Raw genomic sequence first — 13,818 nt, 5'->3', positions numbered from 1 at the left:
TATTTCTCTGGCTAACTACCTCATTAAAATGTAAGATAATATAAGGTAAATTTTATTTAATTTTTGACTCACCAAAAACCAACACAACAATATTCATTTGAATTGAACGTGGATGAAGACATCCAGGAGATATTCTGAACTGGAGCTTAGAAATATTAGTTGGAGACAAATATTTAGAAAGGATCCTAATGCAAGTGATATTTTATAGTGTGAAGGAGGAACAATTTTTGGAAAGAATCAAAGACAGAACTTTGGGATGACCAGCATTTAAGGGGCACATCAATCAACAGGAGACAATAAAAAAGACAGAAGGAACCATCAGAGATCAACCAGGTGAGAATGCTACGGCAGACACTGCTGGTTACATACCAAAGAACCATTCATATCTTCTTTCTAGCTAACAGATATCTTCTCCCAGAAATAGAGTAATGAACTCAAGGAAGGTGAGAGCATCCCCCAGTCTCTTGGGGATGGCTCAGGGTTGATTTAAATCAATCACAGTAGTATTTCCTTTGCCAGTGATTGTTTAAGGGCAGACATGTGACATGGTTCTAGCCAATGAGATGTAAGAGAGATGTTCTGGGGATTTTCCTCCCTATAAGGAGATATCCACCAAGGAGAAACCCCAGCACTGCATCCTGTTTTTGAATAATGAAATTCTTACAATCCTAAAGGTAGACGTCTATGACACAGTGAAAACGGCAGAATACAAAGACAGTAAGAGCCTAACTTGACAGTGTTGCATCTCTAAATCAATCTTGGAACTACCTATCATTGGACTTAAGAGATTCTCTTACTTGGAGCTGAAGGCATCCTGACACCACTAGTGTCCAAAAACCAAAAGACAGAAGCTATTTCATGAGGGATACAGAAAAGTAAATAAAGATGATAGAAAAGTATCTGTAAGAGTGAGAATGATTTTGGCTTCAGTAGTAATAGTTAATCCTGGTGAGCCCTCAAAAAAATATTAACCTAAAAACACATGTATCCTCATTTAGTCTCTCAGAATTCTATGAGGTAGATAGAATTGTGACCAATAAAAGCTAGAATGTGGTAAATTGAACATTAAGAGGGAAATGAAAATGAAATGGTAAATTTAAATATTTCTAACAAGTTGTCTGAAGGAGATAGACTTGTAATAAGGAAAGGATAAAAGAGGTTTTAAGATAGTCCAGAGAAGAAGAAAACAATATAGAGGAGGATATTTAAAAACATGTAAGACATATAATAAAAGAAATAATTGCTTAAATGACATCTCAAAGAAGATAAAATTTGATACGATTTGATACCAAGAGTACCAGTAGATGAGACGTGAATAAAATTAGAGGTGGGCTCTGAGAGCAAAAGGAAGTAGACGACGACAATTTATAAATTTGAAAGTAAAAGGACTAGGAAGACCAAGAAGTTCATACACAGTATCAATACTCTGTTTAAAAAGAGAGGAGTGGGGGGACATCCACTGCTAAGGATTCAGAGTAAAGTAGGGTGTTTGATAAGAATGGTGGTAGTTCAGTATGTCAATTATGGAAAATAGGGAAGCAGCTGATCAGAAACAAACAATTACTAAATCCCACTAAGGACCCAGCTGAAACCAGAATGAATGAACATTCATTTACTCACAAATTTTTATTAAGGACCTTTCATATGCCAAGGCACCTTTCTAGGTGCTAGGGATACAGTATGAACAAAAATCCCTGCCTCATTCTCTGTACATTCTAGTAGGGGGAGATACAATAAAAATTTTTAAATACTGTAAGTTGTGTTAGACGGTGATAAAAGCTAAGAAAAATAAAGCAGAAAATGTAAATAAGGAGATTCAAAATTTAGATAGGGTAGCCAGAAATGATTTCAGAGAAAATGATATTAGCACTACAATCTGAAAGGAAAGGAGGAAAGCTATGCATCCATATGGTAGAACTTATTGGATAGAGGGAAATATCAAACACCAAAGCCTAGAAGTGAGGGAATGCAAGGCATCTTTGAGGAACCGCAAGGTGGCTGAGTCAGAATGATAGAGATGGTGAAGGGGTTGAAAGATGGTCAGAGAAATAACAGATGCAATACAGAGGCTTGTAGGCCACTAAAGACTTTGACTTACATTCTGAGGGAAGATACAATGCCATTGGAGAGTTTTACGCGAATGATAGGTCACTTTGATTCTTAACAGCGTGGGAAAGACGGTGGGCAAGGGTGGAAGACCAATAAGAACTGATGGGCACAGTGGCTCAGACCTGTAATCCCAGCACTTTGGAATGCTGAGGCAGGAGGATAGCTTGAGGCCACGAGTTTCAGACTAGCCTGGACAATATAACAATACTCTGCCTCTACAAAAGATAAAAAATGTCAGCCAGATATGGTGGCACATGCCTGTAACCCTAGCTACTCAGAAGGCCGAGGCAAGATTGCTTGAGCACAGGAGTTTGAGGTTACAGTGAGCTCTGATTATACACTGCACTCAAGCCTGAGTGACCAAGTGAGACACTGTCTGGGGGGGGGGGGAAATACACACACACACATATATATATAATGTATGCATATATATTATGTATATATATAATGTATGCATATATATTATGTATATATATAAAATCTTTATGTATATATATGTACATATATAAAATATATATACATATATACATATGGCTTAGGGTGCCAAAGACTAAACAAACTCAAAAAAGGTTAAAGAATTTGGCAAGGTCACTGAAGTAGCAATATACATATATATTCAGGTGGTTTGGACCATGATGTAGCAGTGGAGGTGATGAGAAGTGGTGAACTTCTGGATATATCTTAAAGGTAGAGTCAACAGGATTTCCTGGTGAATCAAACAGGGAATGTGAGGAAAAACCAATAAGGACACCAAGGTTTTTCAACTTCAGCAAACACAGAACAGACTTGCTACTTACTAAAATAGAGAGGGGAGAAGGGAGAAACTGAGGAGTTCAATATTGGACATATAAAATAAAGATGCATGGGGCCAGGCACAGTGGCTCAAACTCAGCACTTTGGGAGGCCAAGGCAGAAGGACTGCTTGAGGCCAGGAGTTTGAGACCAGCCTAGGCAACATAGCGAGACCCCCATCTCTACAAAAAATTTAAAAATTAGCCAGGTGTGCTGATGCATGCCTGTAGTCCTAGCTACTCAGGAGGCTGAGGCAGGGGGATCACTTGAGCCCAAGAGCTCAAGGCTGCAGTGAGCTAAGATTGCACCACTGCACTTCAGTTTGGGCGACAGAGATCCTGTCTCTTAAAAGAGAAAAATTTGGGAAGAGTGTAGGTGATATTTGAAACCATGAGACTAGAGGAAATTACTAGAATCATAGATAGGGTAAAAGGGCACAAGGATTGAGTCCTAGCACTCACAAATGCAGTAGTAAGAATAACTATTACTAGGAAAGTGGGGCCTCTCCCTCACCCCTGAGATGAATCCTAATTATTCTAAGCCAGTATGACACTTGATAGAGTAAGCCTGTGACTCAACTCTGGTCAGGACAAGGTTAATAAGATTGGCAGTTGTGGCAGGGGTGGAGGGTAGGGACACTGGTAGCAGAAACTTTCCCCTTCCATTTAACAATCATGACTGCATGACACCTGGAACTGTGGCAACCATTATGCAATCATTAGGGGAGTAAAGTCAAGAAGCTGAGGGTGGTAGAAGGCAAAGATGAAAAAAACATGGGTACCTCATAAATTGTTGAGCTGCTCATCAACCAGCCTTAGAGCCACTCTACCCCTGGATTTTTTATTATTTAAGCCATTTAATAAGGGTTTTCATTACTTGTGGTCAAAAGTATCTGGATACAATAATCTCATTTAATTTTCAAAACAATGCTTAGGGTGACAAGGAGTAAACAAACTCAAAAAAGGTTAAAGAATTTGGCAAGGTCACTGAAGTAGCAAATGGTGATTTGAAGTTCATCCGACTCCAAAGTCAATTTGAACTGATTAAGAGTTGTTGATTTAAAGAATGGACACAACTAAAAGACAAAGGGGAGTGGGAGTTGAGAATTACTGACGTGAATGGCAAAGAAGGAAAGCCAGCAAGTAAGAGATGGAAAGAAAAGAGAAGTGTCAAGAGACTAGAGGAACGGAAGAAGTACATTAGGAAACAAACTGACAAGAGGTCATCTTGAGGAGAATATCAGACTTGAAGATTTTTATTGTTTGAGTTGTCTGGATGAAGACTAGATGCAGGCTGTGGCCATAAGTAGTGAGGAAATTGCATTTCGAGTAGTTAAGGATTAATGTAGTAATATTTACTACATGGCACACATTATTTTATGCACTTAGGATTCAGTGGTATGTGATCTGAGATGAAGTTCCCGGGCTGTAACCTGGCCAGAAGCTTGAAGTCTTTACCCCAAGATATAAACAGAGCACAAGAATCAGGCTGACAATTGGGATGACAATGACTCACATTCACTAGCTTGTTTCAAATAATTTAACATACACTAGGAAATTAAATGTTTAATGAATGAATGATCTATCTGATCATTCAGCTTCTCCCATTCTGACTCTTCAAACCATTGCTTAATTAGCTACAGGATATTATTGGTTAGACTGATACAAATAATTGTCTGAAAACAATAGGGAGTCTCTGCAAAGTGATCCATGGTTTCAATCCACCTTCACTCACTAGCATGCTCAAGACAAGACGGTGAGATATATGTCTATTTTGTTTACTACTGTATCTCTAGCACTTAGAACAATGCCCAGAATTTTTGTTGAATTGAATAAATGAATAGATTAATTAGGACCTACTAGATGCCAGGCATTATTGTCATCTCAAAGGTAAATAAGATAGCTCCTGCCCTTGACCGTTTACCACTTAAAAGCTCTAACTAAAACCTCTCAATCTTCATTTATATCAAAGTGCATAGTTAAGGAGCAAGGTTGTTAAGAATCTAAAGGTAATATCTGTCCTGGATAAAAGGTGTCTAAAGCTTAATATGCACATAAATTTTTTAAAACTAACATTCTTGCTTGAAAAAATAGTATTTATATTATTGCTACAATTAGATAACCTGGCATAAACAATGATTATGATAAACCATAGAAAAATAGTACCTCCAGATATTTCTTATAAAAAAATTAATTCCTTTTTCTTAAGTACATGTCCCTTCAAATTTTTTTTAAATGAAGTGAGAATATCAGTTAATATGAAGCAACATAAAGGAACAAATGGAATCAGAAGGCAAATTCCAAAGAGATCACTACTATAAATAGAGACATGGAAATGTCAGAACAGAGAAGCAAGGTTCCACTAAAAAACAACAAAATTGTTATACCAAATGAGTTTTCTATCTTGTACCCACCCACTTCCAGTTAAGGATTTCACTGGCAAAGATCCTTGATCTTTCAATAACCTATTTTCAGAAGGAAATGTTGTCAGTAAATGTTGTCAGTAAAGGTAGACATCCTGATTACAAAAATTAAGATGTTTTTGGTTCTGTACAGATTCTTCTTCCTCTTGTACCTAAGAAGCAGAAAACCTCCAACCCAAACACCGATGCTTCATATAGAAGACAGTTCACAAAATAAAGAGCACTGGATTAGAAATCTAGTCTTGGCTCTGCAATTAATCTTGGCACTTTGTAGAAGGCACTCAGCAATCTGTGTTATGGTTTCCTCCAATATAAAATGAAACAAATGGGCGAGATTACCTTCAAGGTCTTTCCAAGACTGATATTCTAAGAAAAGTTTGTGTGAAACTACCCTTCAGTGCCATCTGGCCTCAAAGGCCCTCCACATTCATAATCATATGTAGCTTTGTAGGAAAATGATAAGTGGAATAAAGAATTCAACTTGATATTTATTAAACTTTTACCAACATAAAAGCATACTGGGCAAACCAAAGAATAAGACGCGGTCCTTGACAAGCCCTCTTTTATACAGAGGAGGGGAAAAGGGAGAAGACAAAATTTCTGTATTCATAACATTTACTACAATCTAGCCAGGGAAACAAAATTTAATTCACTTTAATTCCTCAAATATTAAATATGTTTTGTGTAAAAGGGTAGTTTTCAAATCTTGATGAGTAGAATCAACTATGATGCTTTCTGGAAAAAAAAAGAAAGAAAGAAAGAAAGAAATATAGATTCCCCAAAACATGATTCAGTAGGTCCACGTACGGCTAAAAAGCACTCTTGATGATGCTGGTGACCTTTTGTTAAGAAACTCTGCCTTAGTCTAGCTAACAAAAAGTTTGAGTTAGTCCAGTTAAAAGAAAAACTTTCAATTGATTCATGAATAGGACAGACCCCAATTGAAAGTAGTTCAATGACTTAGGGCTGAAGGGATAAGGAGGATTTTCACAGGATGAATGCAGAAACAAGGCAAAGAAAACATTTGATTAAAGTGGAGCAACAGCCTGATTTGGACCATTCCAGTGAAAAGTCCCTAGTTAAAGGTTAATTGGCAGTTTCTGATTGGTTAAGACAGTTTACATTGAATTAGGTTTCAGTTTGCTTATGTAGGAACACAGGGCACTGGAGGTACCCCAGTCTAATCACTTCCCATTTAATTATTTTAACAGTTTAAAAAAAGCTGTTTCTAGACCCTGAATTCATCTCAAGACTATATACCCATAACTAGAAACAAACTGCAAGCCATTAAAAATAAGCAAAAGTCGGCCAGAGCTTGTACACTTGTGTATTTCAGTGGTTCTCAAGTGTGTCTGCACTTTAGGATTAACCTGTGGGGAAAAGCAAGAGAGATCAGATTGTTACTGTGTCTGTGTAGAAAGAAGTAGACATAGGAGACTCCATTTTGTTCTGTACTAAGAAAAATTCTTCTGCCTTGAGATTCTGTTAATCTATAACCTTACCCCCAACCCTGTGCTCTCTGAAACATGTGCTGTGTCAACTCAGAGTTAAATGGATTAAGGGCGGTGCAAGATGAGCTTTGTTAAACAGATGCTTGAAGGCAGCACTCTCCTTAAGAGTCATCACCACTCCCTAATCTCAAGTACCCAGGGACACAAAAACTGTGGAAGGCCGCAGGGACCTCTGCCTACGAAAGCCAGGTATTGTCCAAGGTTTCTCCCCATGTGATAGTCTGAAATATGGCCTCGTGGGAAGGGAAAGACCTGACCGCCCCCAAGCCCGACACCCGTAAAGGGTCTGTGCTGAGGAGGATTAGTATAAGAGGAAGGCATGCCTCTTGCAGTTGAGACAAGAGGAAGGCATCTGTCTCCTGCCCATCCCTGGGCAATGGAATGTCTCGGTATAAAACCCGATTGTATGTTCCATCTACTGAGATAGGGAAAAACCGCCTTAGGGCTGGAGGTGGGACCTGCGGGCAGCAATACTGCTTTGTAAAGCATTGAGATGTTTATGTGTATGCATATCTAAATGCACAGCACTTAATCCTTTACCTTGTCTATGATGCAAAGACCTTTGTTCACGTGTCTGCTGACCCTCTCCCCACAATTGTCTTGTGACCCTGACACATCCCCCTCTTCGAGAAACACCCACGAATGATCAATAAATACTAAGGGAACTCAGAGGCTGGCGGGATCCTCCATATGCTGAACGCTGGTTCAGCATACTTTGTCTTTGTGTCTTTTTCTTTCCTAAGTCTCTCGTTCCACCTTACGAGAAACACCCACAGGTGTGGAGGGGCAACCCACCCCTACATTAACCCAGGAAGCTTTTACGGATTCACATATAGTCCAATTAAATCAGTTTCTGGGAGTAGGAGTTAGGGCTAACCTTTCTTTCTTTCTTTCGTTTTTGAGACAGAATCTCGCTGTGTCACCCAGGATGGAGTACAGTGGTGCGATCTCAGCTCACTGCAACCTCCCCGTCCCGGGTTCAGGCAATTCTCCTGCCTCAGCCTCCCGAGTAGCTGGGATTACAGGCGTCCGCTACCATGCCCAGCTAATTTTTGTATTTTTAGTAGAGCCGATGTTTCACTATGTTGGCCAGGCTGGTCTTGAACTTCTGACCTTAGGTGATCCACCCGCCTCGGCATGAGGCACCTCGCCCAGCCTACCTTTCATATTTTTTAAAAGCTCCCTGTAGCCAATGTGGGTAACCACTGAATAAATAAAAGGTCACTGCAATTGGTTAGTCAGGTTAAGTTTCATGAGAAAAGACTATTTTTAATCTGGATTTATTTAGCTAAAGGTTAATGAAAAAGATAAATGTAATAGAAGAACTGATTATCTAAATATATGATCCAATAGGAAAAGAAACAATAAATGTTTTGACCACAAAAAAAGGGAGAATAAGAACAGTAAATATATGAATTTTAGACATTTTGTTTTTGAGGCAACATGTAAAACCAAAGTTTTGTAGGTAGCTGTTTGGAAACATCTAGGAAACAAGTATAGGATCAATTTACAGGAAATTACAAGTATATTAGTGCATATTTGTATATAGCAGCTTTATTATAAATTATTGTAATGTATGCTATGGAATAAGCTAAACTCACTTAAGAACCGGATGATAAGGCCAGTTATTTAAGACAGATGCTTTCAGGAGTCCCAAACTTTCAATCTAACATTATTACCTAAAGTAATGGAAAGCTGGGAGTGTTGTCTTACAAGAAGAGGTGGAGAGCTCCAAATTTTTCTCTAAAAATTAATAATCTATTTCCTATATATCCTATGATGCCCTGTTATATCTCCCATGATCATAATCAAAGGACAGATCCTGGCAATGAATGTGTGGAGTGACCAAACAAATACTCCATTAATATTCAAAGAGGCCTTTTGTATAATACACTAAAGATGTTTGTTCTTTTATTAGATTTGAAGAACACTGAAAAGTTTGGAATGACACCTTAGCAACCCCCCAAATATTCCTCCCAGCTTCACTGAAGAGATCCTAAAAAGCAGTTTATTTATATTTTCACAAAGAACCTTTGTCTCAAGCATTAATTTTTCCAAAAGATTAAGCTATCAAGAATTTTATTGTGGCTGGGCGCGGTGGCTCATGCCTGTAATCCCAGCACTTTGGGAGGCCAAAGAGGGTGGATCATGAGGTCAGGAGTTCGAGACCAGCCTGGCCAACATGGTGAAACACTGTCTCTACTAAAAATACAAAAATCAGCTGGGCGTAGTGGTGGGTGCCTGTCATCCCAGCTACTCGGGAGGCTGAGGCAGAACTGCTTGAAGCCAGTAGGCAGAGGTTACAGTGAGCCGAGATCATGCCACTGCACTCCAGTCTGGGTGACAGGGTGAGTCCGTCTCAAAAAAAAAAAAAATTAGGCATAGTGGTGCACACCTGTGATCCCAGCTACTCCAGAGGCTGAGGTGGGAGAATCTCTTGAACCTGGGAGGCTGAGGTTTCAGTGAGCCAAGATCGTGCCACTGCACTCCAGCCTGGGCAACAGAGCGAGTATGTAAAAAAAAAAAAAAAAAAAATTGAGGTCCTTACATATTTTCAATATTCAGTGATAACTAAAATAAATTGAGATATACATAAATTTGTTTTGAGGGTAAATTATAGCACTGTGGTAAATTACATTGATCAAAAGATCTGATTGTATTGCCTAATTAATAAAATATGAAAAAATCAAGACATTTTCAAAATACAACTGGAAAATTTCTACCTAGCCGCACACCCAACACTGCTTTTACTGTTTTTCTATACATTATGATTAAATCTGTAGTCCCATACGTGCACTGATTTTTCAAATGCAAATTCCACCAAAATTTATAGGGATGGCCATGAACACTGAAAAAGATCATCAGAGCTATAAATGGATACTACTGCCTTAAAAGCTGATTAAAGGGAAATGATGGCTCACCTGTATCTACATTCATATTAACTGCTATTTTGGTGCTTAAGCAAATGAACACATTACTTTTAGGTTTTCAGAAAGAATGCAGCATATATATATTTCTCACAATTACTCTTAAGAGCTGCTGAAAAAGTATTTTTTTAGACCTAACCAAGTAAGACAAAATGCCACAAAGTCGAGAAAGTTCATTTTACCTCATTGTTTGTTATTTAAACAAATAATTTTGGAAAAAAAAAGTCACTGTGATATACTCAATAATAAAGAGTAAGACTTCTAAAGTATCCTCACGATTCCTGGAGCTTACTACTATTAACACAGTAAATTACATGCCACGATATGTTGGAGAAGGTCTGAAGAAATGTCTGGCATTACTTGGTAACTGAAGTACATAACATAAAATACCAATTTACACACACACACACACACACACACACACACACACATATATATATATATATACCTAGTCCTGTGATGACAATTCAGAATATGATCTTACATTTGAGTACCCACAGGATGGGGTGGGAGAAACTACGCCTAAGAAGCTACAAAATCTATTTTGGTCAAGAAACAATGCTGTTCTTAACTTAAGAGACCTTAACAGGCCGGGCGCAGTGCCTCGCGCCTATAATCCTAGCATTCTGGGAGGCCGAGGCGGGTGGATCACGAGGTCACGAGATCGAGACCATCCTGGCTAACACGGTGAAACCCCGTCTCTACTACAAACGCAAAAAATTAGCCCAGACGTGGTGGCAGGCGCCTGTTGTCCCAGCTACTCGGGAGGCTGAGGCAGGAGAATCGCTTGAACCCAGGAGGCGGAGGATGCAGTGAGCCGAGACCGCGCCACTGCACTCCAGCCTGGGTAACAGAGCGAGACTCTCAAAACAAACAAACAAACAAAAAAAAACCCTTAATAAAAATGGCCATGGACACATACATATACTAGGTTATTAAATCTGGCTAACACTGAACTTTAAGAACAATCACGTTTTTGGATAAAGAAAAGGGCAGTCATACTTTTAGAGCCTCATCCACATTATTTTAAACAAAAAACTTAAAATATGGTCGAGAACTAACAGGCTTCCAGCCTGAATTCAACACCCACCCTCGTGATAAAACTAAAAAATCGGACAGTCTGTAAGTAAAATACAGGGACACTTTACTACCCTGAAAATCATGCTGGGTTCCCGCTACGCCGGGCAGACGTTTTCAGGAGCATCACCGCGCGGCGTCTCGGACGCACTTCTCCTGGCGCCCTCCGGGCGGCAGCGCTCTCGAGACACTGTTGCTTCGCCGTCACGCCCGTCGTTGTCACGCCCTTCCCCGCGGACACCGAGAATGACCCATAGCGGAAAATTCTACCGCACTACCTCCCTGAGGCAGCGACCGGTAAGAAACAACCTTTTCTTCAGGCTTCCCACCACCCAAACACAGTCGCAGTCAACTGGCCACTATCACCCACCACCCTGCAGGAACAATTACCCAGCCTCACCCCAAGAACGCGCGGAGAGGAGGTGCCAAAAGAAATTCTGTTCTCGCGAAGTCTTAAACTTAATCCTCGCGACGTCTCTGTTCCTGTCGTTCTTTCTCAGCCCTAACCCACACCAGCGCGTTGCCTCGGAAACATCGCGAGATTTTGTTCCTTCAGTCTCCGCCCCTTTACGGCACGATGGTCGCGCAAGAATGTAATAGAGCTTCGACGGCCGCCATTTTCTTTCTTTCTTAGCTGTTAGCTGAGAGGAAGTCTCTGAACAGGCGGCAGCGGCTCTTATAGTGCAACCATGGCAGACTATTCAACAGTGCCTCCCCCCTCTTCTGGCTCAGCTGGTGGCGGTGGTGGCGGCGGTGGTGGTGGAGGAGTTAACGACGCTTTCAAAGATGCACTGCAGAGAGCCCGGCAGGTAAGTGTGGACCGCGCGGCGGAATCCCGAAAGCTCACGGTAATTGGCCGCTGACTGAGTAGGCCGCTACCCTTAAGCGCATGAGGAAGAGGAAAGAGGTGTTCTTCCGGGCTGAAATGTGAAGAGACACGTTTCCCCATGTTGGTAATAACGATTAGAGACCAGAACCCAGTTTTGTGTTCTTGGTGCCTAATCCACTTAGAACCCCGACGCGTGCTACGCAAAGAAGGCCTGAAGTCTTTCTCCCGCTTCTGCGGCACTCGCGTGTCTCCAGTGAGCTAGTTTAGATAAAGATCCTCTTCCAGGGGATAAAGCGCAGTTAGTTTCACACAATTTAATGGAAGGTTCTGGTAATGAGTTTGGGAAAGAACTAGGGTCTGTCCTGGAGCCATAGCAAGGGAAGGGATTTATCATTAAAGTAGCCTTTACAGCTCATTTCCGTTCTCTCTCGCAATTAAAACCGCTTTCAGTACCATTCACCGTCACACCTCTACAAGGAAGGGACTTGAAAGCAGCCTTTTTCTGGGCGGGATTTACGTGTCAGTCTGTTCCACCAGTCCGCCCCCCTTATTTCTCAAAATGGCCTCAGGCCCATTATACCAGAGGTTTCAATTTGAATCTGCCTCTCAGTTCAGAGTCGTAAACTGACCAGACCTCTTTGTATTACGTAGTGCGTGCATTTGCCCTGAAGGCACCACTTTCCCAGACGAAAGCTGTTAAAATAGTGCGTGTATTCCAGGAAAATAAAAGATACCTTAATTTGAACTTTACATTCTTAGATAGTCCCCTAATATATTTAACATTTCAAAATGTATGGTGTTGGTATAGATTTGCATGTAAGCAAAAGAATCCTATTCTCTGTGACACTATGCATATTGTACTAGGTGCTGGGCATTTTTTACTAGTTTTAAGCTAATGATAATTAGAAACCAGTGTTGTGCTGTGTTTTCGTTGCATTAGGAGTTCACTTAGTTAACTTTTTACCGGGACAGTTGAAGGAACATTGAGTCAAAATTAGAATTCATAAAATCCGTTGTAACACATCTAATGTGAACGCATTATAAACATGTACCTGTACTTTTTTATAACCAGAAATACTAGGAGTAGTCAACAAAAGGTCATCATTAATATTAGTTCTGCGGTTTTTTCCACGTAATTTAAGAAATTCTGAACATGTTTAGCAACAAGCATATAACTATGACAAACACTCTTAGCGTGTTTTATTAGATTGATTTGTAAAACTTAAGGGAACTATTTTATTTACTGGAACCAACTATTTTATTTTACCAGAACCAGCACATTGGATTAATTGGTATCGCACACTGTAGGTAGATACTGGAGTTTTGTTTTGTTTTGTTTGAGACGGAGTCTCCCTCTGTCGCCCAGACTGGAGTGCAGTGGTGCGATCTCGTCCCACTGCAACCTCTGCCTCCCGGCTTCAAGCAATTCTCCTGCCTCAGCCTCCCGAGTAGCTGGGATTACAGGCGCCCGCCACCATGCCCGGCTAATTTTTTGTGTTTTTTTTGTTTGTTTGTTTGTTTTCAGTAGAGACAGGGTTTCACCATGCTGGCCAGGCTGGTCTCGAACTCCTGACCTCGTGATCCGCCCGTCTTGGCCTCCCAAAGCTGGGATTACAGGCGTGAGCCGCTGCGCCCGGCCTTGTTTTTTTTCGTTTGTTTGTTTTAATGCATGAATTGTTTCCTACTAAGAAGCTATGATATAGTTCCTTGACCAAATGCAGATGAACAGGATTATCTGATTAATACTTTAACGAGAGCAGACAAAATATGGATATTTAATTCATCCACTTGCTTTATAAGTGTTTATAGAGTTTGTTAGGAGGGGATGCCCAATTTCCTAAGTAAAGGTGATATATGAGCAAGACATTATAAAATGAAAGAGAGTTTGGCCAGTGAAGAAAAGAAGCAGCATGCGCAGAGGTGTGGGGACTTGAGGGAATGGCAAGGACCCAGAAGTGAAGTCGCTAGAAGATGGGGGTGGGAGGACGTGAAACGAGGCAAGGAAAGGTACAAGCGGATCCAGATACTGGAAGACCTTGTGTTGCAATGCTTTAATTAAAAATTGGATTTCAGGCCGGGTACGGTGGCTCACGCCTGTAGTCCCAGCACTTTGGGAGGCTGAGGCAGGCAGATCACTTGAAGTCGGAGTTT

General features: G+C 40.5%; 2 protein-coding genes across 35 annotated transcripts in view, besides 6 other annotated features; one reads left to right on the top strand and one right to left on the bottom strand.

Annotated features, from left to right (window-relative positions):
- DNAJB4 (DnaJ heat shock protein family (Hsp40) member B4) overlaps window positions 1–11,357 on the bottom strand; it is a 38,790-nt gene extending 27,433 nt beyond the window's left edge. For 2 of the 4 annotated variants that reach the window (NM_001317100.2, NM_001317101.2), the window contains exon 1: window positions 10,913–11,357. The gene's annotated coding sequence lies outside the window, so the exon portion shown is untranslated. Of the gene's footprint in view, window positions 1–10,209; window positions 10,349–10,912 lie in introns of those variants that run through there. The other 2 variants (NM_001317102.2, NM_001317099.2) reach the window with 2 other exon arrangements.
- Window positions 10,987–11,046: an enhancer, noted in NCBI's record as "active region_1228". NCBI's record gives its function as "activates an Ori minimal core promoter by ATAC-STARR-seq in GM12878 lymphoblastoid cells {active_cell/tissue: GM12878}" and the evidence as "EXISTENCE:reporter gene assay evidence [ECO:0000049][PMID:35858748]".
- Window positions 11,031–13,818, top strand: part of FUBP1 (far upstream element binding protein 1) — a 35,447-nt gene continuing 32,659 nt past the window's right edge. For 22 of the 31 annotated variants that reach the window (NR_146539.2, NR_164756.1, XR_007064844.1 and 19 more), the window contains exon 1: window positions 11,460–11,647. Coding sequence is in view for 16 of the 31 variants with exons in the window: in NM_001376056.1 (NP_001362985.1) it covers window positions 11,528–11,647 (120 nt within the window). In the remaining 15 variants the exon portion in view is untranslated. Of the gene's footprint in view, window positions 11,136–11,459; window positions 11,648–13,818 lie in introns of those variants that run through there. The other 9 variants (XR_007064840.1, XR_007064839.1, XM_047433487.1 and 6 more) reach the window with 1 other exon arrangement.
- Window positions 11,057–11,206: an enhancer, noted in NCBI's record as "active region_1227". NCBI's record gives its function as "activates an Ori minimal core promoter by ATAC-STARR-seq in GM12878 lymphoblastoid cells {active_cell/tissue: GM12878}" and the evidence as "EXISTENCE:reporter gene assay evidence [ECO:0000049][PMID:35858748]".
- Window positions 11,517–11,646: an enhancer, noted in NCBI's record as "active region_1226". NCBI's record gives its function as "activates an Ori minimal core promoter by ATAC-STARR-seq in GM12878 lymphoblastoid cells {active_cell/tissue: GM12878}" and the evidence as "EXISTENCE:reporter gene assay evidence [ECO:0000049][PMID:35858748]".
- Window positions 11,657–11,716: an enhancer, noted in NCBI's record as "active region_1225". NCBI's record gives its function as "activates an Ori minimal core promoter by ATAC-STARR-seq in GM12878 lymphoblastoid cells {active_cell/tissue: GM12878}" and the evidence as "EXISTENCE:reporter gene assay evidence [ECO:0000049][PMID:35858748]".
- Window positions 11,727–11,776: an enhancer, noted in NCBI's record as "active region_1224". NCBI's record gives its function as "activates an Ori minimal core promoter by ATAC-STARR-seq in GM12878 lymphoblastoid cells {active_cell/tissue: GM12878}" and the evidence as "EXISTENCE:reporter gene assay evidence [ECO:0000049][PMID:35858748]".
- Window positions 11,847–11,896: an enhancer, noted in NCBI's record as "active region_1223". NCBI's record gives its function as "activates an Ori minimal core promoter by ATAC-STARR-seq in GM12878 lymphoblastoid cells {active_cell/tissue: GM12878}" and the evidence as "EXISTENCE:reporter gene assay evidence [ECO:0000049][PMID:35858748]".

This window comes from Homo sapiens, chromosome 1 (genome assembly GCF_000001405.40).
Source record: "Homo sapiens chromosome 1, GRCh38.p14 Primary Assembly".
Lineage (NCBI taxonomy): Eukaryota > Metazoa > Chordata > Mammalia > Primates > Hominidae > Homo > Homo sapiens.
The sequence above is the reverse complement of the archived record's forward strand: the minus strand, read 5'-3'. Positions and strand labels throughout refer to the sequence as shown.